The sequence below is a fragment of the Homo sapiens genome, chromosome 18 (assembly GCF_000001405.40).
Source record: "Homo sapiens chromosome 18, GRCh38.p14 Primary Assembly".
In the NCBI taxonomy this organism is placed as follows: Eukaryota; Metazoa; Chordata; class Mammalia; order Primates; family Hominidae; genus Homo; species Homo sapiens.
The window spans coordinates 76,718,711-76,741,806 of NC_000018.10; the positions used below are offsets into that span (position 1 = coordinate 76,718,711).

Below are 23,096 nucleotides of genomic sequence, written 5' to 3' on the forward strand. Positions count from 1 at the left end.
GCTACTTGGGAGGCTGAGGCAGGAGAATGGCATGAACTCAGGAGGTGGAACTTGCAGTGAGCCGAGATTGCGCCACTGCACTCCAGCCTGGGCAACAAAGCAAGACTCTGTCTCAAAAAAAAAAAAAAAAGATCAAGACCAAAGGGGCAAATCTTCATGACCTTGGATTTGGCCAAAATATCTGACAAGGGATTAATATCCAGAATATATAAGGAACTTCTATAACCCAACAACAACAAAACTTAATTTTAAAGTGGGCAAATGACTGAAATAGACATATATACACATACGCACACATACACACAAATGGTCAACAAGCACATGAAAAAATGCTGAACATCATTAGTTATTAGGGAACTACAAATAAAAAGCAAACTTCATACTCACTAGAATAGCTATAATTTAGAAATATGAAAAATAATAAGTGTTTGTAAGGATATAGAGAGATTGGAATTCACTTTTTTTTTTTTTTTGAGATGGAGTCTTGCTCTATTGCCCAGGCTGGAGTACAATGGCACAATTTTGGCTCACTCCAACCTCCATCTCCCCGGTTCAAGCAATTCTCCTGTCTCAGCCTCCCGAATAGCTGGGATTACAGGTGCACGACACCATGCCTGGCTAATTTTTGTATTTTTAGTAGAAATGGGGTTTCACCATGTTGGCCAGGCTGGTCTTGAACATCTGACCTCAAGTGATCCTCCTGTCTCGGCCTCCCAAAGTGCTGGGATTACAGGCGTGAGCCACCATGCCTGGCCTGAAATTGGAACTCTTGTATACTGCTGGTGAAAATGTAAAATAGTGTAGACCCTATAGAAAACAGTATGGCAAGTCCTAAAGAAATCCAAAATGGAATTACTGTATGATCCAGCAATTCCATTTCTGGGTATATATGCCAAACAATTGAAAGCAGAGACTCAAACAGATTATATCCTGGTATTCACAGCAGTGTTATTCCCAACATCAAAAAGCTGGAAACAACTGAAACGTCCATGAACGGATGAATGGATAAACAAAATGTGGTATATACCACAGAATACTCCTTCAAAAGCAAAGAAATTCTAATATTAATACATTCATAACATGGATGAATCCTGAAGACATTATGCTAAGTAGAATACACCACTCACAAAAAATAAATCTTCATGATTCCACTTATATGACATGCCTAGAGCAATCTAATTCATAGAGACAGAAAGTCAAAAGCCAGTTAGCAGCTGAGGGAGGGGGGAGTGGGGAATTATTGTGTAGTGGATCAAAGTGTCATTTTGGGATGATGGATGAGTTCTGGAGATGGATAATGTTGATGGGTGCACAGCAGTGCAAAGGTACCTAATGCACAGAACTGTATGCTTAAACATGGTTAACACCTGTAATCCCAGCACTTTGGGAGGCCAAGGCAAGAGGATCACCTGAGGTCAGGAGTTCGAGACCAGCCTGGCCAACATGGTGAAACCCCATCTCTACTAAAAATACAAAAATTAGCTGGGCGTGGTGGTGGATGCCTGTAATCACAGCTACTTGGGAGGCTGAGGCAAGAGAATCACTTGAACCCGGGAGGCAGAGGTTGCATTGAGACGAGATCGTGCCACTGCACTCCAGCCTGGGCAACAGAGTGAGACTCCATCTCAAAAACAAACAAACACACACACATGGTTAACATGGTAAATGTTATATACATTTTACTACAATAAAAAATATTTGCACACAGAGAAAAAAAGTAAACATTGAGATACCATGTGACACAGAAATCTGCTATGCATATACCCCAGAGACCTGAAAGCAGAAAGTGAAAAAAATACCTGTACACACACATACCCATAACAGCACTGTTCGCAGTACCCAAAAGGTGGAGACAACCCAAATACCCAACAACTGACCAACAGATAAGCAAATTGTGTTGCATCCATACAATAGAATAGGATTCACCCCCAAAGACACAGAGTTACTGATTCATGTTGCAACACGGGTGAACCTTGAAAACATTATGCTCAGTGAAAGAAGCCAGACACAAAAGGTCACATATTGTATGATTCCATTTATATGAAATATCCAGAATAGATAATTCCATGGAGACAGAAAGCAGATTGGTGGTTGCCAGAGGCTGGGAGGAAAGGCCATGAAGGGAAGCTGCTGAATGAGGACAGGGTTTTGTTTTGAAATATGGAGACGTTTCAGAACTAGAGGTGGTGGTTGCGCAACATTGCAGATGCACTAAATGCCACTGAATTGTTCACTGTAAAATGATTTTGTGTTACGTGAATTTCATTTCAATAAATTATTTAAAAATATGTAGCTAGTATCAATAACTGCTTTTTAAGACACTGTATTCGGTGCTGTACTATGTGAGTTAGAGATATCGCCTGTTTTGGTATCAAGATAGTCCTACGAGGTAATAGTATTATAATCCCAATTTTATGCCTGAGGAAGCTGGGGAACAGTGTTGTCCAGGGGTGTTGTGGTCCAGTGGGGGTGGTGGAAATAGACGCAGGATAACTTCCTATGAGAAGGTGAGTGAGCTCAGTGCTGCAGAGAGATTTAATGGGCAAAATAGTAACAGCTGCTGCAATGAATCGAGCAGGCACCAGATGCCGAGTAGTTTCTTTACAAAAATACAGGAGTGCAGTTCACCTCCTTTCCTCCCCACAAACAGCACCCTGGGCCGGGTCTTGGCTAAGAATGAGCTGAGCGCTTCTGAGCAGTCACTTCAAAGCATGGGGTAACCACAGGAAAACCTTGTTGAAAGGATGTGGCTTAGCGAGAGGTCCCACCTTAGTCCTGGTGGGCCACATGGGGCACAGTAGGGGCAGGGGGAAGATGGGGTTAAGAGGGGATTGCTGTAGGAAAAGAAGCCATCAGGAACTTTGAAATCTATTTTCAGTAGTATCCCGAATCTTCTAAACTTTGTTGTCCTGGCTTTTGAGCTTCTGGGAAAGGTGGATACCCACAAGAGCCCCAAGTCATTGTGATGTCAATATGAACTTTAGTTTGATTCTGTAGCAATATAATGAGCTTGAAAGCCAAGCTCTGTTAAGACCAAGACAGAAAGTAAGAATGAAAATGTGTGGAATAGACAGTTTTCTAAAAATCTTTCAACACTGAAGAACAAAGCCTGGAGTCCTGCCATCACAGAGGCCCCTCTGCAGAGCGGAGAATGTGGGGCCCTCCACCTGGAACCACAAGGCCCCCATGTTACCGCCCGACCAGAGGGAAGCCAGGGTGTTGAAGAAAACTCTGGAGTTTTTCTCTTCCAGTCCTGAGAGATGGTGCAAAGGAGAAGGGGAGACAGAATGAGAATGAGGCTTAGATACGAAGCAGGCCCTTGTTCGTCCTCTCTCTTCAGAGCCCCAATCTTGATTTGGGAAATGGAGCTTTAGAAACATCCTGTAAGGAACATGGCTGTAGCTGCAGCCAAGCAGGCATAGGGGTAGCAGGCATAGGCCGAGGTAAACAGCCTGGTTGACTCAGTGGGGTTGGGGTGCAAGCGTGCAGTCCCATGTCTTATATAATCATAGCCAGGTAGACATAACATAGAGAAGCTCCCCACCTGGCTCTTAGCCACTATTGTTTGTGTAGTGTATAAGCGTAACATTGAGCCTGTGAAGGAGCTGCTGAATAAAGTCATGTCTCATTTACCTGCTGTCTCTTGAATGTTCTTCCAGCTCCCTGCCCCACATCCACCCACTCTCCTCGGACCTCAGTTGGAGCTGGACCCCGACCCTAAGCATGACATATTTGCACAGGTCAGGGGACTTCTGGAACATGCAAAAGCCTTCACGTCCACGATTGTGCCCTCCTGAGCCTGGGGCAGGACCAGGTCTCCGTGAACCTGCAGCCAGGCTGCCTGGGGCCTGCAGAGCCTCTGGAGCCTTGGACCATGGCCTGGGTCCTATGGGGGTCCACGGAAGTGCAGAGCCCTGGGTCAGGACAAGGACGTCCCTGAGAACCATGCCTAGAGACAGCAGGCAGTGCTGCCCTGGGGCTCAGTGTAGATGGAATAACTTGAACCTTACAAAGGATTGCTGCTGTGGGGTTGGGGAGACAGCGGGACTGGAAAGAAGGCCTACAGTGCCTATGAGTAGAGAGGGGGTTCCCTAAACTCCAGAGCATGGTGTGGCAGCAGGCCTAGAGCAGGCTGTGAGGGAGAGGGGCACCGTCAAGCGCCAGGAGGGGGAGCAGAGCGCTATGCTGTCAGGGGCCCAGGAGGATTCGACTGCTTTCCCCTTGGACCGTGGAAGGCCATATGTGGCATAGCTGAATTGGGATTTTCTCCTCTTTATTCTAAGTTCCTTCAGTTTTCCCAAACCTAGCAAAATCCATGTTATTATTAATTATTATCAGTGTTAATTTAGTAACACTAAACACTGTTTATTAGTAAAACTAACACCAGCAAAGCCTTTGCGTGCTAGAACTTCTGAGCATTTTCCATGGACTGCCCCATTGGAACCCCATAACCTCACGGACTACCTTTATCACTATTGTCCCTGTTTCACAGATGGAAAAGCTGAGACACAGAGAAGTTCCTTGAGTTGCCTGAGATCACAGAGCAGCAGGGCCAGGACCCGGTCCCAGGAAGTTCCACTGCAGGCCCGGCTCTAACCCTCATCACTGTGGTGGTGGCCTTCAGTTTGAGTTGGGTCAGAATGATCAGGTAGGCGTGTCAGACACAGAGCTTGTCCAGAGGCAGTGGGAGGGGGCTTGGAGTTTGCTTTTTTTTTTTTTTTTTTTTTTGAGACGGAGTCTCGCTTTGTCGCCCAGTCTGGAGTGAAGTGGCACGATCTCGGCTCACTTCAACCTCCGCCTCCCAGGTTCACGCCATTCTCCTGCCTCAGCCTCCCGAGTAGCTGGGATTACAGGTGCCCGCCACCACGCCTGGCTAATTTTTTGTATTTTAGTAGAGACGGGGTTTCACCGTGTTAGCCAGGATAGTCTCGATCTCCTGACTTCGTGATCCGCCCACCTCGGCCTCCCAGAGTGCTGGGATTACAGGCGTGAGCCACCGCGCCCGGCCGGAGTTTGCATCTTTAACAAGTTCCCAGGTGGCGATGATGATGCTGGTCTGAAACCCACACCCTGAAAACCACTTCTGTAAAGACTCCACCCTGATGCCTGCGGAGAGCCTCCACCCTGATGCCAGTGGGACAGGTGCCCAGCACACCCAGGCCAGCCTAGCAGCCAAGGGAGCGGAACTGGTGGCTGGGGAGCCCCCAGCCCTGAGAAGCAGAGGGGCTGGAGAGGAAATCTCTCCCACCTCTCCGCACCAGTGGGGAGACCCTGGACAGGGCCCGGGGGTAAGGGCTGACATCCGGTTCCCTGCGATGCAAACTGTGTGGTGGCTGCTGTATACAGACAAACGAAACAACCACAGCTCCGCAACACGAAATGCCAGCACACAGCCAAGGCAGAGCCGAGCCGCTCGTCCTCAAAGCCTGGGCCTCCCCCTTTCCTGCTGCTCAACAGGCTCTTGCAAGCTGAGCACGAAGACAAAATAAAAATCAGGCTTGAGGAAGGGCATCGCCAGGCCGTGTACCCTGAGAGGCTAAGTGGGGAAGAGCTGGTAACACGGCTGTAGAAATAGCAGTGTTCTTTGCCTCTTATTCAGTGTTACTACATAAGGCAAGGAAACTGGGCCCTTTTCTGCAAAGAAGAGTCAAGGAGAATGAAAATAGTGCTTGGGTGCTGTCTTCCTGTTTCCTAGCCGTTTCTTTTTCTGCAGAGCACAGAGAAAGGACAAATGACTAGGGATCTGCAACATTTGATCAAACCGATGGGGAGTGGGGTGGGTGAATGGGGCTGTGAGGGCTCTCCAGCACGGAGGCCTTTAGGCGGTGCTGACTGACCAAAAATGTCCAATTCCTTGAAAGCATTTAATCACTGGAATGCTCAAATTTAAATTTTAAGAGATCAGATTTAAATCCACTTAACAGCTGCATGCTCTTGGGAAAATGTAACCCCTCTAAGCCTTGCTTTCTTCCTAAAATGGCAGGAATGGGGAGCAGTAGAACGGTGCTCAGCCCACAGAATTGTCAGGAGGATGACGTAAGATGATGGGTTCAGTGCAGCGCCTGGACGTAGAAGGTGACGTTCTTTACCATAAATGTTAGCAGGTGCTAACAGAGATCTCTGCTTCCCCATGTGGGACCTCAGGTGAAAAGAGTCTTCAGATAGTAAAAGCGAGAAGACAGGGTAGAGAACCCCCTCTCCCAGGATCCAGTGTAAAAATCATCTGTCACAAGTTTCTATCTTAAAAGAAACCCTGCAGCCATAAAAAAGGAGGAGTTCATGTCCTTTGCAGGGACATGGATGAAGCTGGAAACCATCATTCTCAGCAAACTAACACAGGAACAGAAAACCAAACAGTGCATGTTCTCACTCACAAGTGGGAGTTGAACAATGAGAACACAAGGACACAGGGAAGGGAACATCACACACAGGGGCCTGTCAGGGGTTGGGGGCTAGGGGAGGGAGAGCATTAGGAGAAATACCTCATGTAGGGTTGATGGGTGCAGCAAACCACCGTGGCATGTATATACCTATGTAACAAACCTGCACGTTCTGCATGCGTATCCCAGAACTTAAAGTATATTTTAAAAAAAGAAAGAAAGAAAGAAAGAAAAAAAAAAGAAACCCTGGAGGGTGCCCCGTGGAATCTGTTAGATACAGTTGCAGTAATACCAGATGCCTGATAAAGTATCTGGCATTATTGCAGCTGTAAGTTTTATAAAGTTCAAAATGTAGCATTTTGGAGGGTTTCTTGCATAGTCGTGTTCAGTCTGATGGCAATGGAGCAGCTGTGTTCAAATAAACAGCTATTGACCAAGGATTAGTTGCTTGGTGTTTTGGGGGATTATTTGTAGCTAAAACACTAAACTTGTTTGCTCATGTTTCTGAAAGTATGTAACAGCTGGAGTCAGATCCCCATTCAAAACTGGAATAGAAAATGACAAGCACCTTCACCAGCACAAAGGAGGAGCTGTCATGCAAATGTTTGTCATGAAACTTTTTAGCTTTGTCCCGTTGTCTGGATCCTTCTTATTATAATCTCCTCTAAAGCAGTGGTCCCCAACCTTTTTGACACCAAGAACTGGTTTGTGGAAGACAGTTTTTCCACAGATGGTGGCAGGGGTGGTTTCAGGATGATTCCAGCACATTCCATTGATTGTGCACTTTATTTCTATTATTATTACATTGTAGTATATAATGAAATCATTATATGACTTATCATCATGTAGAATCAGTGGGAGCCCTGAGCTTCTGTTCCTGCATCTAGATGGTCCCATCTGGGAGCGATGGGAGTGACAGATCATCAGGCATTAGACTCTCTAAAGGAACGAGCAACTTAGATCCCTCTCACGCGCTGTTCACAATAGGGTTCAAGCTCCTAGGATAATCTAATGCTGCCACTCATCTGACAGGAGGCGGAGCTTAGGTAGTGAGGTGAGCAATGGGGAGCAGCTGTAAATACAGATAGATGAAGCTTCCCTTACCCACCTGCTGCTCACCTCTTGCTATGCAGCTCAGTTCCTAATAGGCCACAGACCACTACTGTCCATGGCCTGGGGGTCAGGGACCCCTGCTCTAAGGCACAGGAAGAGGTAGTAAAACAATGTGACAGTTCTACATGGGTGGTGAATACAAATAAACAAATGGTGTGTTAGAGTAATATATAGTGTGAATGCCTGTAAGGTCCTAGCCTGGCAGGGCACAGTGCTGTACTCTCAGCACTTTAGGAGGCTTTTGCGAGAGGACCACTTAGCCCAGGAGTTTGAGAGCAGCCTAGGTGACAAAGTGAGACCCCATGCCTACAAAAACTTATTTAAAAAATTAGCCAGGCAGCTGGTTGCAATGGCTCATGCCTATAATCCCAGCACTTTGGGAGGCTGAGGCGGGTGGATTGCCTGAGGTCAGGAGTTCAAAACCAGTCTGGCAAACACAGTGAAATCCCATCTCTAATAAAAATACAAAAAATTGGCCGGGCGCGGTGGCTCACGCTTGTAATCCCAGCACTTTGGGAGGCCGAGGCCGGCAGATCACAAGGTCAGGAGATGAAGACCATCCTGGCTAACACGGTGAAACCCCGTCTCTACTAAAAATACAAAAAATTAGCCAGGCGTGGCAGCAGGCGCCTGTAGTCCCAGCTACTAGGGAGGCTGAGGCAGGAGAATGGTGTGAACCCGGGAGGCAGAGCTTGCAGTGAGCCGAGATTGCGCCACTGCACTCCAGCCTGGGTGACAGAGTGAGACTCCCTCTCAAAAAACAAAAAAAAAATACAAAAAATTATCCAAGTGTGGTGGTGTGCGCCTGTAACCCCAGCTACTCAGGAGGCTGAGGCAGGAGAATCACTTGAACCCTGGAGGCAGAGGTTGCAGTGAGCTGAGATCGTGCCACTGCACTCTAGCCTGGGTGACAGAGCAAAACTCCGTCTCCAAAAGAAAAAAAAAAGCAGAAAGAAAATTAGCCAGGCATGGTGGCGCACACCTATAGTCCCAGCTATTTGGGAGGCTGAGGCAGGAGGATCACTTGAGCCTGGGATGTCGAGACTGCAGTGAGCCATGTTCATGCCACTGCACTCCAGCCTAGGTGACAGTGAGACCCTGCCTCAAAACAAACAAAACAAAACAAAAACACACTTGGCCTAAGAATTAGGCTGAATCCACGTTTTCAACTATAATACATTACATCTTTGTCAGTCATATAATCCAGAAAAGAACTGTTTGTGCCACAAAGAATAAAAAATTACTTCTCTTGGAAAATCTGAAATTTCGTATCCTCCAGGAAAGGTATCCTGTAATACTATTCCCTGTATGAAACAAACCTGATTGAAATCTTTTTTGACCGTATAGAGTTGTAAACTACTGGGTAAAGTTGACCTACTTTTTATCTAATTCTGTACCACCATTTCTTTAGAAAATGATCTGTACCAGACAAGAAATGTATTTCTGAACTAGTCTTGTTGTGCTCCAAGACATACTTAAAAATAAGGACAATCACTTGGTTTACAAAGAGGAGACAAAAATAGTTCACTAAAATAGAACAGAAACATCTTCTGGCTTCACTGCTTACTAATAACTCACATTTTCTTGCCAGGTCATCATTTTATAAACCAGAGAAGAAAATCGTTTCCATTAATGCTGAATATTGGTGCCACTGAAGTTATAATACCCTGTTGCTGATGCCACTGTAGAAGGCTATGTTGTTAACTTTTTAAAAAAGTGCATTTATTGCTTGTATTTTGCTGTATCCAAATAAAATTATTTGTGTGGTTGAACTCACACCACATATAAAATTCTGTCCTGTGTCTTAAACTTTTATTTTGAAATAATATTGGATTTATAGGAAGTTACAAAGACAGCTTAGAGAGACATGCACCCTTCACCTGGTTTTCTCCAATGGTTACATTGTATGTAAATATAGTACAACATCAAACCCAGGAAACTGACACTGGTACTGGGTGTGTGTATAGTTCTAACCCATCTTAACAGGCATATTTTCATGTAATCACCACTGCAATCAAGATACAGAACTCTTCTGTCAACACAGAGATGTCTTTCTTGCTACCTCTCTGAAGCCACACCTGCCTCTCTGCTCCCACCGTTCCCAAACCCTGGAAACTAGTCATCTCTTCTCCATCTGTGCTTCTATCATTTCAAGAATGTTATGTAAATGAAATCATATATTGTGTGAATTTTGTTTTGTTTTGTTTTGTGATGGAGTCTCGCTCTGTCACCTAGGCTGAGGTGCAGTGGCACGATCTCAGCTCACTGCAAGCTCCACCTCCCAGGTTCACGCCATTCTCCTGCCTCAGCCTCCTGAGCAGCTGGGACTACAGGTGCCTGCCACCATGCCCAGCTGATTTTTTTTGTATTTTTAGTAGAGACGGGGTTTCACCATGTTAGCCAGGATGGTCTCTATCTCCTGACCTCGTGATCCGCCCATCTCGGCCTCCCAAAGTACTGGGATTATAAGCGTGAGCCACCACGCCCGACCTTGTGTGAATTTTTGAGATTACTTTTTGTCAGTAGCACAATACCCTTGCATATAGTTGAATCATTTTTTTAATCCACTCTGTTAGCCTCTGTCTTTTAATTGGTGTATTTAGACCATTTACATTTAAAGTAATTATGGATATGTTAGGGCTTGGGGCTGCCATTTCATCTTTTAGTTTCACGTTTGTTCTATTTCTGTCTCTCTCTCCTGTTTTCCTGAACTCTTTCTAGAATCCATTATTTACCTATAATGTGTTGAGTATATCTCTTTGTATAGGTTTTTTAAGAGTTGCTCTAGGTATTACATTATATAAATAAATATATATACATATATGCATATAACTTAGCAGTCTACTGCTGTTGACATTCCACCAGTTTGAGTGGAGTGTAGAAATCTTAACTCTCATTAAATCCCTTGATTCCCTTTTTGATAATTATTTTAGCATTTCTTCCACACATATTTAGAACCATATCAGAATGCATTATAATTTTTGCTTTGTCAAATGTAATTTGAAAGACTCATTGTCTTTCAATGGAAAGCCTATTGTATTTGTCCATATTTTTGCTCTTCCTGTTCTTTCTTCCTTCCTGGTGTTCCAAGATTCCTTCTTTCATAATTTCCTTTCTGTTTTGAAATTTTCTTTAGCTGTTCTTTAGAGCAGGTCTGCTAACAATAAATTTTCTCCATTTTTCTTCTTCTGAAAATATCTTTGTTTTTCCTTCATCCCAAGGATAATTTTCCTAGATATAAAATTTCAGATTGACAGTTCTTTGCTTTCAGAACTCGGAAAATGTTATCCCACTTCCTGTTGACTCTCATGGTTCTCACAAGAAATCTATGGTCATTCAACTTGTTCCTCTGTAGGTAAGGTGTTGATTTTTTATCTCTGCATTCAAGATTTTATTTTTAGTTCTTAGTTTTCTGAAGTTTGATTATGATGAGTCTTGTTGTGTAATTCTGGGGTTTATACTGTTCAGGACTTTTACTCAGATTCTTGGATTTGTAGGTTTAAGTCTCGCTAAATTTTGGAACTTTTCCTCAATCATTTTCTTGAATACTTTTTAGCCCCACCCTCTCCCTCCTCTCCTCTAAGACTTTGACATGAACATTAGGTCTTTTGTTATAGTCCTACCTGTCCCTGAGGCTCTGTCCCTGATGCTCTGTTCATTTTATTTTTAGCTTTTTTTTTTTTTATTCTGTGGTTCAGATTGGGTAATTTCTAATGACAGAACATTAGAAATTTCAACATCAGTAGTCTCCTTCCTCTGTCATTCTGCTGCTGAGCTGATCCATGGAGTGGATGGAATTATTGTAATCTTAATTTCTAAAATGCTCATGTGTTTCCTCTTAGATTTACTATTTCTTTGCTCAGCCTTCTTTTTTATTTGTTTCAAGTTTGTTGTAATTGCTTGTTGAGACATTTTTATGGTGACTGTCTTAAAACCCTTGTCAAATAATCCCAATATCTCTGTCATCTTGTTGTTAGTGTCCGTTGATTGTATTTCTCACTCAAGTTGAGATTTTCTTAGCCTCCAATGACACTGTCGAGGGAGCCTCGTTAATGCCAGGTGAGGAGGAAAGTCCAGCTCCCCACTCAGTCTTCTCTGATGCCAGGATGAGGGTGCCAGGATAAGGGTGTAATGAAAGTCAGATCATGCCAGGTGTGGTGGCTCACGCCTGTAATCCCAGCACTTTGGGAGGCCGAGGCGAGCAGATCACGAGGCCAGGAGATCGAGATCATCCTGGCTAACACGGTGAAACCCCGTCTCTACTAAAAATACAAAAAAATTAGCCAGGTGAGGTGGCGGGCGCCTGTAGTCCCAGCTACTCGGGAGGCTGAGGCAGGAGAATGGCGTGAACCCCAGGGGGCAGAGCCTGCAGGGAGCCAAGATTGCGCCACTGCACTCCAGCCTGGGCGACAGCGAGACTCCACCACAAAGAAAAAAAAAAAAAAAAGGATTAACAAGACAAAAAAAAAATGAGAAAAATAATTCAGTCAACTGAGAAGAACAAAAACCTTTATCCAGAAAAAGCAAGATCCAAGAAGAGAAAAACATAAAAGCCTTTTAAATATACCTATTGCTTGTTTATACAGTTTTAATTAAGCTGACCTTTAACCATAGCGCTCTTCAACCTAAAAAAAAAATCCTTTTAAATTGTTTATTACCCAACTTTAGCCATGCCAAGTGGCCAATATTTTTGGCATTTGAATTCCACAGGTAACTTCCCACATGAAATTAATAAGTTTTAACTAAGGTTATAACTTAACCATGGACACACACGTGTCTCAAAGAGATGGTAAGCAGTTGCTTTTTTTTTTTTTTCTTTTAAGATTTAGAATCTCCCCTGGGTAGTTTAGAGAAAGGAAAATTCAAGACAGGAAATCAGCTATAGCAGGGGGGAAACCTCAATACATGGCAAAGTTACATAAATAAAAAACCAGAAGGGAATCATTCCAGAAGCCAAAAATAGACCCCAGGCCGCCATTGTCAAAAGGCAAAGCCCTAGCTACTGAGTTACAGCATTGAGCAGTTTCTATTGCTCTTCCCAGAAGGAGCCTAGAGAAGTCCATTTCAAGCTTGCAAAGGCTTTTAACTGCTCAAGAAAATGTTTAGGGCTAACTATGACATGAATCTCCAAATTCCTGTCTTCTAGAAACCAAGAGAAAGTATCCCCACATGGTCACAGGTTAAGCTCTTAAGGACACAAAAGAAGACAGAGAAATTTCATCCTGTATTGGTTTCAGGGACCCACAGCAAAGTTTGCTGACCAGCCTGCCAGGCTAGCTTGAAAAGTGGGCTTGAAAGTGGGTCTTAAACCCACATTCTATCCTGTGATACTCCTTTCTCCATTACAGAACACGGAAAGACAAATTCTTAACACTAGGTACACCAGATTTTCTACCACCTAAGACTAGTCTCACAAATCCTTTTTCTATTAATCAAACCCTTGCAGAGAGACAAATAGTGACATTTACTATTTACCCAGACAGAGAAAGAGAGAGACACCAGAAACCTGGCTGGTAAGAATTTCTTACCCTTTTTCGCTGGCGTACCAGGTTTCTAGGCTCCCTTTCTCTGCAGCTTCCAGAACAGAGCAGCCTCTGATGACCTTGCTCACTGCGCCATAGCCGTGAGGTTCAAGCCACTTTATGAAAGAAAATCACCATTTCCTGCTTTTTTTTTTTTTTGAGGTGGAGTCTCCCTGTGTCGCTCAGGCTGGAGTGCAGTGTCCCAATCTTGGCTCACTGCAAGCTCCGCCTCCTGGGTTCAAGCGAGTCTCCTGCCTCAGCCTCCTGAGTAGCTGGGACTACAGGTGCATGCCACCACACCTGGCTAATTTTTTGTACTTTTAGTAGATATGGGGTTTCAGTCTGTTAGCAAGGATGGTCTTGATCTCCTGACCTCGTGATCCACCTGCCTTGGCCTCCCAAAGTGCTGGAATTACAGGCGTAAGCCACCGCGCCCGGCCCACCTTTTCCTGCTTTATGGAACCATAGGCAAGATTCTTAATTTGCAGGATGCTGCCCAATAGGCTGCATGGGGGACCGAATTAACATTTTCCATCCCAGCAAAACACACATAACAAAACAAACATTAGTCACCTCCTTCAGCACCCAATATCAACCTGGCAAAGCTCAAACTTTTTCCTGTTGGTCTCTGTTGTCTGTGATTCCCTCCAGATGGGGAGGGACAACCTCCGAATGGTAATTCACAATGAGGTCTCTGGGCAAGGCAAAGAGCAGATAGTCACCCCGAGACAGATCTGTTGAGCCTTCTTTAGGGCTCATCAAATGTGACCAGACAAATAAGGAGGGTTCTCTGAGTTAGGCCTGCTGAACTTCCATCAGCAACCCCTTCTGAGATCCCTTCCACATATACAACCACACACAAAGACGAGAGGACAGAGGCCTTCCAAATCAGATCCCTAACCAAGAACTCCAAGAGTATCCCTTCCAAACTACCCTCTTATTCTCTGAGAAACCTCCTCGAAATCTTCCTGATTAAGGAGAAGTCTCCCAAACCAAGACTCTTCCTACTAGTTACAAAGCGCCAACCAAGAACCCCCAGGAGCCAAACAGACACCTCAAAGTGGGGCTACAGACACAGACACCCCATGGTGGAGCTACAAACAGACACCCCACAATGGGGCTACAGACACCCCACCATCGGGCTAGAGAACCAGTCAGGAGAAGGAAGGAGGCGTTGGCAGCGCCTAGGATACTCACCAATCCAGACAACCTACAATGGGGCTACAGACAGACACCCTGTGATAGGGCTACAGTTGAGGGATGTCTCCCCATGACATTTCTCTGTTGTAATTAAACCCATGCACATTGGGTTGGCAGTGTCCCCCGAGTGGAGAGAATACCATAGTCCTCCGCCAGTCCAAGAGAACCAGGCTGCCACTTGGGCTGGCTTCTGGATCCATCACTGAATGGGGGCCACTGAACCATGGGCGGGTAGCCACAAGGGCAATCCCAGATAAGCCCCCAAATTTGTAACCGCTCAAGGGTTTCACCTTGCCCACTGCCTAGACAGAGCCCTTTCATTACGACAGGAGAATTGCAATAGGGAAAGGGTAATTCACACAAAGCCGGCTCTGCGGGAGACTGGAGTTTTATTATTACTCAAATCAGTCTCCTCATTAGGTTTTTAAATACAACTTAAAAATCTGACTGTACTCTATGTAAATTTAGAAACTTGAGAACGATTTTCTGTTTACTCTAGTTGAACAGATTAAACTATCTTCAATAATAATTAATACTTATGTACTTAGTTATTTAAATTATATAAAGCATTTTGGCTGGGAATGGTGCCTCAAACCTGTAATCCAGCACTTTGGGAGGCTGAGGAGGGTGGATCACTTGAGGCCAGGAGTTCGAGACCAGCCTGGTCAACATGATGAAACCCCGACTCTACTAAAAACACAAAAACTAGCCAGGTGTAGTGGTATGAACCTGTAATTCCAACTACTCAGGAGGCTGAGGCAGGAGAATCACTTGAAGCTGGGAGGTGGAGGTGGCGAGAGCCGAGATCGCACCACTGCATTCCAGCCTGGGTAACAAAGCGAGCCTGTCTTTTTTTGAGACAGGCAGCCTGTCTCAAAAAAATATATATAAAGCATTTTGAACTACATTTACATTTAATAAATTATTTTTTCTTGTATAGTGATTCAAATTCCTGACAGGAACCAATTTATAATTCTACTCAGCAATAACACACCAAGCATGTAAACTATTGTTATAAATATAATAAATTAAACTTATAATATGTCAAGGTGTTTAAACATTCCAATACCTCTTAGAAATGATAAAATTTTAAGTAACAATCTGCTTAAAAATCAAAAGATTGGAGCATCATATTCTCTCAAACATTGAAATATTTTAACAGCATGCAGATGAATCTGAACTTATCACAGTAGTATTGACATTGGAGATCTGAATTATATTAATAATCCAGGTGAAAGACAATGATGGCCTGAATTCATGTTATATAGAACACCTGGTTAGATTTTTTTTTTCTTTTGAAACAGGGTCTCGCTTTGTCGCCCAGGCTGGAGGGCAGTGGCGTGATCTCAGCTCACTGCAACCTCCGCCTCCCTGGTTCAAGTGATTCTCTCGCCTTGGCCTCCTGAGTAGCTGGGATTACAGGTTTCCACCACCATGCCTGGCTAATTTTTATATTTTTAGTAGAGACGGGGTTTCACCATATTGGCGGGGCTGGTCTCAAACTTCTGACCTCAGGACTCTCACCTGACCTCAGGTGACTCTCAGTCCAAGGCCTGAGAACCAGGGAAGCTGATTAGGTGACTCTGTCCAAGGGTGAAAGCCTCAGAACCTGGGTGTTGTGGGGAAGCCACTGGTGTGTAAGTCCTGGAGCCCAAAGGCCGGAGCCTGGAGTTCTGATGTCGAGGAGAGGAGAAGAAGGGTGTATCTCGGCTCCAGCAGATAGACCAGCACATTCCCCTTTTCTCTGCTTTCCTTCTCTGCGGGTCTGCAGCTGACTGGGTGGTTGCTGCCCACATCATTGAGGGTGGACATTCCCCCGCAGGTCCACTCAGATCACGTGTAAATCTCTGGAGACACCATCACAGACACATCCAAAAATAATGCTTGGCCAGTTTTCTAGGTCTTCCTTAATCCAGTTAAGGGGTCAGCTGGCTGGTGTGCCAGAAGGTTGTTGGAACCCTCAACATGCATGGGTGTTCCCAGACTTGCAGGCAATCGGCCACCAATCTGTACACAAAAGCCCCATGAGACAGAGGACTGAATGGTCCCCATTTCTAGAAGGGCTCACTGGACCGAGATGAGAGGAAAATTCCTAGTTTAATGTTGAAAAATGTAAAATCTGAATATCCAAACTGAAGTTCTGTTTCTCATTTTTCTCAGGTTTGGAATCTTGAAGTTCAAAGCTGAGACTATCCCACAGCCGATGCATTTGTCCAGAAGTTCATGGAATCCAGAAGCTCTCAAGTCCGTCAGCAGTTTTCAGGGTGTTCTTGGGAGAAAGTCTTAAGAACTCCCTCCAAAAAAAAAAAAAGGCCGGGCATGGTGGCTCATGCCTGTAACCCCAGCACTTTGGGAGGCCAAGGTGGGTGGATCACGAGGTCAGGAGATCGAGACCATCCTGGCTAACACAGTGAAACCCCGTCTCTACTAAAAATGCAAAAAATTTAGCTGGGTGTGGTGGTGGGCGTCTGTAGTCCCAGCTACTCCGGAGGCTGAGGAAGGAGAATGCCGTGAACCCGGGAGGCAGAGCTTGCAATAAGCCGAGACTGCACCACTGCACCCCAGCCTGGGCGACAGAGCAAGACTCCATCTCAAAAAATCAAAAAACAAAACAAAACAAAACAAAACAAAAAAAACGGGTAAGGCAATTTCTTTTTTTCCTTTGAGACGAAGACTCGCTCTATCACCCCACCTGGAGTGCAGTGGCACAATCTCAGCTCACTGTAACCTCCACCTCCCGAGTTCAAGCGATTCTCCTGCCTGAGCCTCCTGAGTAGCTGGGACTACAGGCACGCCCAGCACGACTGGCTGATTTTTGTATTTTTAGTAGAGACGAATTTCACCATGTTGGTCAGGCTGGTCTCGAACTTCTGCCCTCAAGCAATGCACCTGCCTTGGCCTCCCAAAGTGCTGGGATTACAGATATGAGCCACCATGCCCACCTGGGTCAAGCAATTTTTAAAAGGAGGCAAGTGCTGAAAATACAAGCCAAAGATGCCATAGTGAGGATGGGAGAGAAAGAACCACCCTGGAATTCTTTTAAAGGAAGAGAAAGCACAATGTGGTGACATTTGAAAAAGAAAGTCAAAGGCAGACATAAAATAAGCAGATATCAGAAACAAATTAACGGAATGACTTCAAGAGTGACAACTTTAAAGCAGTTCTATTTTGAGAGGCAGCAAGAACGTGGCAAAGGAATCCACTGTCTCTTTTGCAGCTCGCCCTGCAAGGGTGACCAGCTGCACCCAGGACGGGATGTGCCACAGCTGACAGGCGACACTCTCCTTCCCATATGCAGCAACAAAAGCTTTGCTTCTTACCAGTTTTGCAGAATTGTTTTGAGGCAGCAGCAAACAGCAGCACAGGACAGAAAAGCCTTTTATCCGCCTTCATCCCGGAGATGAAATGAAGCATGGTCTGTGGAGGAATACGCTGCGTGGCCCTGTTACAACAAAAGCACAATTAACACTGAGATCTCGCACACGTGTATCTAGGACACGCCAAGGAGGGAGTGCAGGGTCGTCAGCCAGGACTGACGGCGGTGTCCTCTGCGCATGGGGTGCAGCCCACCCTCTATGAGGAAGAGGCCACCTCTCCGCGCAGTGTTGGGGAGTCGGCATGGAGGCGGTGTGGAAGCCCTGGGGGTCCTCATGTCCCCTGAACCTCTTGAGGCTCAGTTTCCTCACTGCAGATGGGAACCATGTTACCTCTCACCGGCGATTGGAGTGTCCAAGAAGAATGACTTGGTGATTCATGACCTAAGAAGGACACGTGCACAGGGCTGTGGGTGTACCTCTGAGAACCGCTATAGCTAAAGCTGTGTCGACTATCAATTTACTTATAGAAACCCCAGTGCCTGTGAGATCAGGGTTTTGTTAAAATCTGCACTCATTCCAGAGGTCCTGGCTGCATTTCATGGCAGACCTTGCTGAACATTTCCAGGAGGCAAATGCAGTTCTGGGGTCGATTTGGTGGGCGTGTTCCAAAACATAACATTTACTTATACTCAGACTTGAAAACCATCTTTGTGCAACCACCACCCGCTCTCCACCAAGAACTGACTTTTCACCGAGGCCTCCAGAGTATAATCAACCTTTCGGGTTTCTCATTCCATGGTGAAGTCGTGAGTTCTCCCACACAGATGTGAAAGGAAATACTTTCAAAATGTTAAGATATCCGCTGGAATAAGTGGATCATTCCCCACAAAGTAGAGGATGGGTTTCATTGACTCATGAATAGAATGGATCCCCCAAAGTGGAGGATGGGTTTCACTGGTCACTGATAGAATGGATTCCCCAAAGTGGAGGATGGGTTGCATTGATTCATTGATAGAATGGATCCCCCAAAGTAGAAGATGGGTTTCACTGGTCACTGATAGAATGGATCCCCCAAAGTGAAGGATGGGTTTCACTGATTCACTGATAGAATGGATCCCCCTAAGTGGAGGATGGGTGTCATTAATTCATTAATAGAATGGATCCCCCAAAGTGGAGGATGGGTGTCACTGACGCATTGATAGAATGGATCATTGCATTTCCACTGGGAGTCAGACACTGTTCCTGTGGGTGCTGTTCCCAAGGGTCAAGGGTGCTGGGCCTGGGCCTTTGACTAACTTGTTTGGATCCTGTGCCTTGCCTGAGCCTCCCTGACTGATACATCTGCACCCCTGGGTGCCTGGCTTCATTTGCAATAGATTCCTGCCTCTCCCAGTTTCTGGGAGTTCTGGGCACTTCTTGACACCCCTTGGCTTCTAGCTGCATCCTTCTGATCTCTGCCTCCATCTCTGCATGGCATTCAGGGTCCTCTCTGTGTCTGTGTTCTAATGTCCCCCTTCTTTTAAGGACATAAGTGGTCCATGGATTTAGGGCCCACACCCTAATCTACTATGACCTCATCTTAACTGGATCATATCTAAAGAGACTCTATCTCCAAAGAAGGTCACATGCAAAGGCTCCAGGTGGTGTGAATTTGGGGGGAGAGTGTTCAACCCAGGGCATATCTCGAGCAAGGAAAACAAGGGGACCCCCAGGCCCTGGGGGGGGCCTCCCAGTAGAGCCCCTGCTCAGGCAGCAAGCACAGTGATGCAGGGGCCTCAGGCTTCCTCTCCTTGACTGAGGCACAAGACAACTTTTGGGGCTAAATATCATGCAGATTCATTAAGGAAACATTTATCAAGTGCTTATTGTGTGCCTGTCATTGGCTAAGAGATGCTCACTGGGAGGTGGAGGTTCAGCATTGCAGGAAATACAGTCCTTGGCCTCAGTGGGTTTTCAACATTTCCCCTAAGTAAACTGCATTCGACTATTAATACCAAAAACAGCCACAAAGAGAAGCACTCTGACGGTTCTTCCAATTACTAACATTTGTTGTTTGGTCACGCGTGGCCACAAAAAAATGCCCTAAATTCATAATTTTTAAAAATTTATATCATTGAAAAGATAAAATGCATTCTTTGGAAATACTAGGCCTGTTGACAGAGCAGCTCTGTGAATGAGAGGCTGACGCCCAGTGGACGTCTAGCCGCTCCTTTCGTCTCAGAATATTGGAGTGAGGGAGTGAGGGAAACAATATTCCTAAATACAACACAAGGTTTTAAGATATCATAACCCCTTCTTTGCATTCAAAGGAAACAGAAAGACAAGGTTATGAACCTGAAGTTGTATTAGGAAAAAGTATACCTTCTGAAAATACCAATTAGAATCCCAGAGTCATGGCCCATTGTTCTGATAATGTCCCAAATTCTTACGAAGAGGCACAAAGTACGCACATGTCAAGAGAAACTCTGTTATTGAGCCCTGGAGTTCCATGTTAGATTGAATAACCTGAAGACAAGTTAGTGCTATTGTGTCTTTTGTTTGGACCTAAAGTCTTAAGCCTTGTTCATAGCCCTTCAGCGTTCAGTCACATTCATCTTCCTGTATATCTTCTCCTTCCTTCGTTCCTTCTTTCCTTCCTTCCTCCCTTCCTTTCTTCCTTCCTTCCTTTCCTCCCTCCCTTCCTTCCTTTTGTCCCTCCCTCCCTCCCTTCTTTCCTTCCTTCCTCCCTCCCTCCCTCCCTCCTGTACTCCCTCCCTCCCTCCTGTACTCCCTCCCTCCCTCCCTCCCTCCCTCCTGTACTCCCTCCCTCCCTCCCTCCCTCCCTCCCTCCCTCCTGTACTCCCTCCCTCCTGTACTCCCTCCCTCCCTCCTGTACTCCCTCCCTCCTGTACTCCCTCCCTCCCTCCTGTACTCCCTCCCTCCCTCCCTCCTGTACTCCCTCCCTCCCTCCTGTACTCCCTCCCTCCCTCCCTCCTGTACTCCCTCCCTCCTGTACTCCCTCCCTCCTGTACTCCCTCCCTCCCTCCTGTACTCCCTCCCTCCCTTTCTTCCTCCCATCTTTCCTCCCTCGCTGCTTTCCTTCCTCCCTCCCTCCCTTCTTCTCCAATCATACTTTTCCTCAATTTGCCTTTTTTTCACACTCACACTTAGACCTGCTTCAGCCTCCTGCATTCTTAACGCTGCTTAGCGCCCCAGACAGCTCAAGGCCAGAGACAGTCGCCCAGCCCAGTGCTTCTCACTTCCACCTGCCCACAAATGACCTGCACACCTTGTGGAAGTGCAGATCTCATCTCAGCACATCTGGGGTGGGCCTGAGAATCTGCATTTTTAACAAGCTCCTGCTGTGTGGCCCACACGGGAGCAAAGAGGGAGATTGCTTGGGCAGCCCCTGGCCCCTCGTGATGCTCAGGTTCTTTTCTTTTCCTGTCATCGTAGAGAAGGCACACATGAGTCTGGTGGGGTGAAGTCCTAGCATGCGAGAAGGTGTGAACAGGGAGACACAGCATCGCGAGGGTGGTGTTCCGACAGCGCAGTCCTGAACCAGGTTGAGGCGGGAGCCGGCTGGCTGGTTTGCTTCTCTCCAGGTTGAGAACCCAGCAGAGACCGACCGAGGGGATGCAGCGCACAGTCATGAGATGAGCCTTCACGTCTCCCGATGGGGACCCCAGAGGTGTTCTCTGGACACTCACACACGCACCAGGGAACAGGGGGCTCCACGTGCACACCTTGGCTGGCTGGGTGTTTTTTTTTTCCATTCCCGGGTCCCATCTGGATGGAGAACATCTCTCAGAGCAGAGTGGCACTTCCAGCAACCAATGAATACCCCAATTAACCTCATGCCAGATATCTGAAAGGGTCATTTGAGACATTAAAGAGACATTTTGTTCATTATGATCAAAAGCTTCTCTACTTGAAGGCAGACCACACACCACGATTCATGCTAAGGTCACTTAGAAAATAAAGAAGTGGTAGACCGAGGTGGGCAGATCACTTGAGGTCAGGAGTTTGAGACCAGCCTGACCAACATGGTGAAACCCTGTTTCTGCTTAAAATACAAAAATTAGCCAGGTGTGGGGGCTCCTGCCTGTAATCCCAGCTACCCAGGAAGCTGAGGCAGGAGAATCACTTGAACCCAGGAGATGGAGGTTGCAGTGAGCTGAGATGGCGCCACTGCACTCCAGCCTGGGGGACAGAGCGAGACTCCATCTCAGAAAAAAAAAGAAAAAGAAAAAAGAAAATAAAGAAGAAACATTGAAAAAGCCAAGTGACTGTTCCCAAAGAAGGTACAGTACAGCAGGACTGAGAGTGCCTCCTTGCCTGAGTCATCGCTGACTCACCACCCACATCTTCCTGACGCTTAAATTATGTTCTCGAAAGGCCAGCTCCTCGGAGGCATCGGATCCAAACTGCTGGCAGCATTTACAGCCTGTGACACTTGAAGTTGAAATGATAGAGCACTACTTAAGCATCGCAAATTCAGAATAATCTGTTTGGATGACAGACCCCTTTCCTTCCAATCCAATGGCAGTGTCTTTTAGATTTCTTTAATCAGAATATTTTCTTAAAATTAGTAATGAAGTGATTACAATATTATAATTAATACTATTTGCAAATGGTTATAAAATAAATGCAAATAGTTTCTGTTATCATTGCTCTTCTTCTTTCTCTTCCGATAGTGATAAATCTGGGACATTCTCTTTTTTTTGAGACACAGTCTCACTCTGTCACCCAGGCTGGAGTGCAGTGGCACGATCTCAGTTCACTGCAACCTCCACTTCCCGGGTTCAAGTTGTTCTCCCGCCTCAGCCTCCCTACTAGTAGCTGGAACTACAGGCGCGTGCCACCATGCCTGTCTAATTTTTGTATTTTTCTTAGAGACAGAATTTCACCTCGTTGGCCAGGCTGGTCTTGAACTCCTGACCTCAAGCCATCCACCCACCTTGGCTCCCAAAGTGCTGGGATTACAGGTGTGAGCCACTGTGCCCAGCCAATCTGGGCCATTCTTGACTGCTACAGAGAAAAAGCAAGATGAAAAGGAAGATGTCAGCGAATTGCTGTTTTTTGGCTGCTTAGAATGAGAAATTTACAAGGCTAGGATCCCAGGCTGAATTTTCTTATGGGCACTGTGATCCTGTGTCCCATATTTTTTGAGGCAGTCATAATTTCAAATGTTCTCTTTTGTTATTTTTATCAATACATTATAGTGTGTCAGACTGTGAATCTCCACTTTTATTGGACACTTTATCTAAGGATATGTGCCCCGAGCAAAGAGATGTGTCAGGTCTTTCATCAAGAAGCCTGGGGAGCAAGTACAAACAGATCAAAGCAAGTATGTCCTCACCACCTCCAGGCACACACCTGGATGGCGCATCCACAGTACCATCTTCCTATGGAAAAGAAGTTTGCAAAAACAAGTCTGGCAAATGGGATATCAAAGTGGTACGGTCTGGCCAACATGGTGAAATCCTGTCTCTACTAAAAATACACAAATTAGCTGTTTGTGGTGGCGTGCACCTGTAATCCCAGCTACTGGGGAGGCTGAGGCAGGAGAATCACTTGAACCC

At 45.7% G+C, this 23,096-nt stretch overlaps 1 long non-coding RNA gene across 1 annotated transcript, besides 2 other annotated features; it reads left to right on the forward strand.

The window, feature by feature from the left end:
- Positions 2,528 to 2,697: an enhancer, noted in NCBI's record as "active region_13512". NCBI's record gives its function as "activates an Ori minimal core promoter by ATAC-STARR-seq in GM12878 lymphoblastoid cells {active_cell/tissue: GM12878}" and the evidence as "EXISTENCE:reporter gene assay evidence [ECO:0000049][PMID:35858748]".
- On the forward strand, positions 3,654 to 9,161 carry LOC105372213 (uncharacterized). Its single transcript, XR_935658.2, has 3 exons — positions 3,654 to 3,740; positions 4,493 to 4,648; positions 9,085 to 9,161. It is a non-coding gene; the product is annotated as an uncharacterized LOC105372213 (long non-coding RNA).
- Positions 14,360 to 14,861: an enhancer, noted in NCBI's record as "NANOG hESC enhancer chr18:74445026-74445527 (GRCh37/hg19 assembly coordinates)". NCBI's record gives its function as "activates a minimal SCP1, AML or CMV promoter by ChIP-STARR-seq in naive H9 embryonic stem cells {active_cell/tissue: H9 hESC(naive)}" and the evidence as "EXISTENCE:reporter gene assay evidence [ECO:0000049][PMID:30033119]".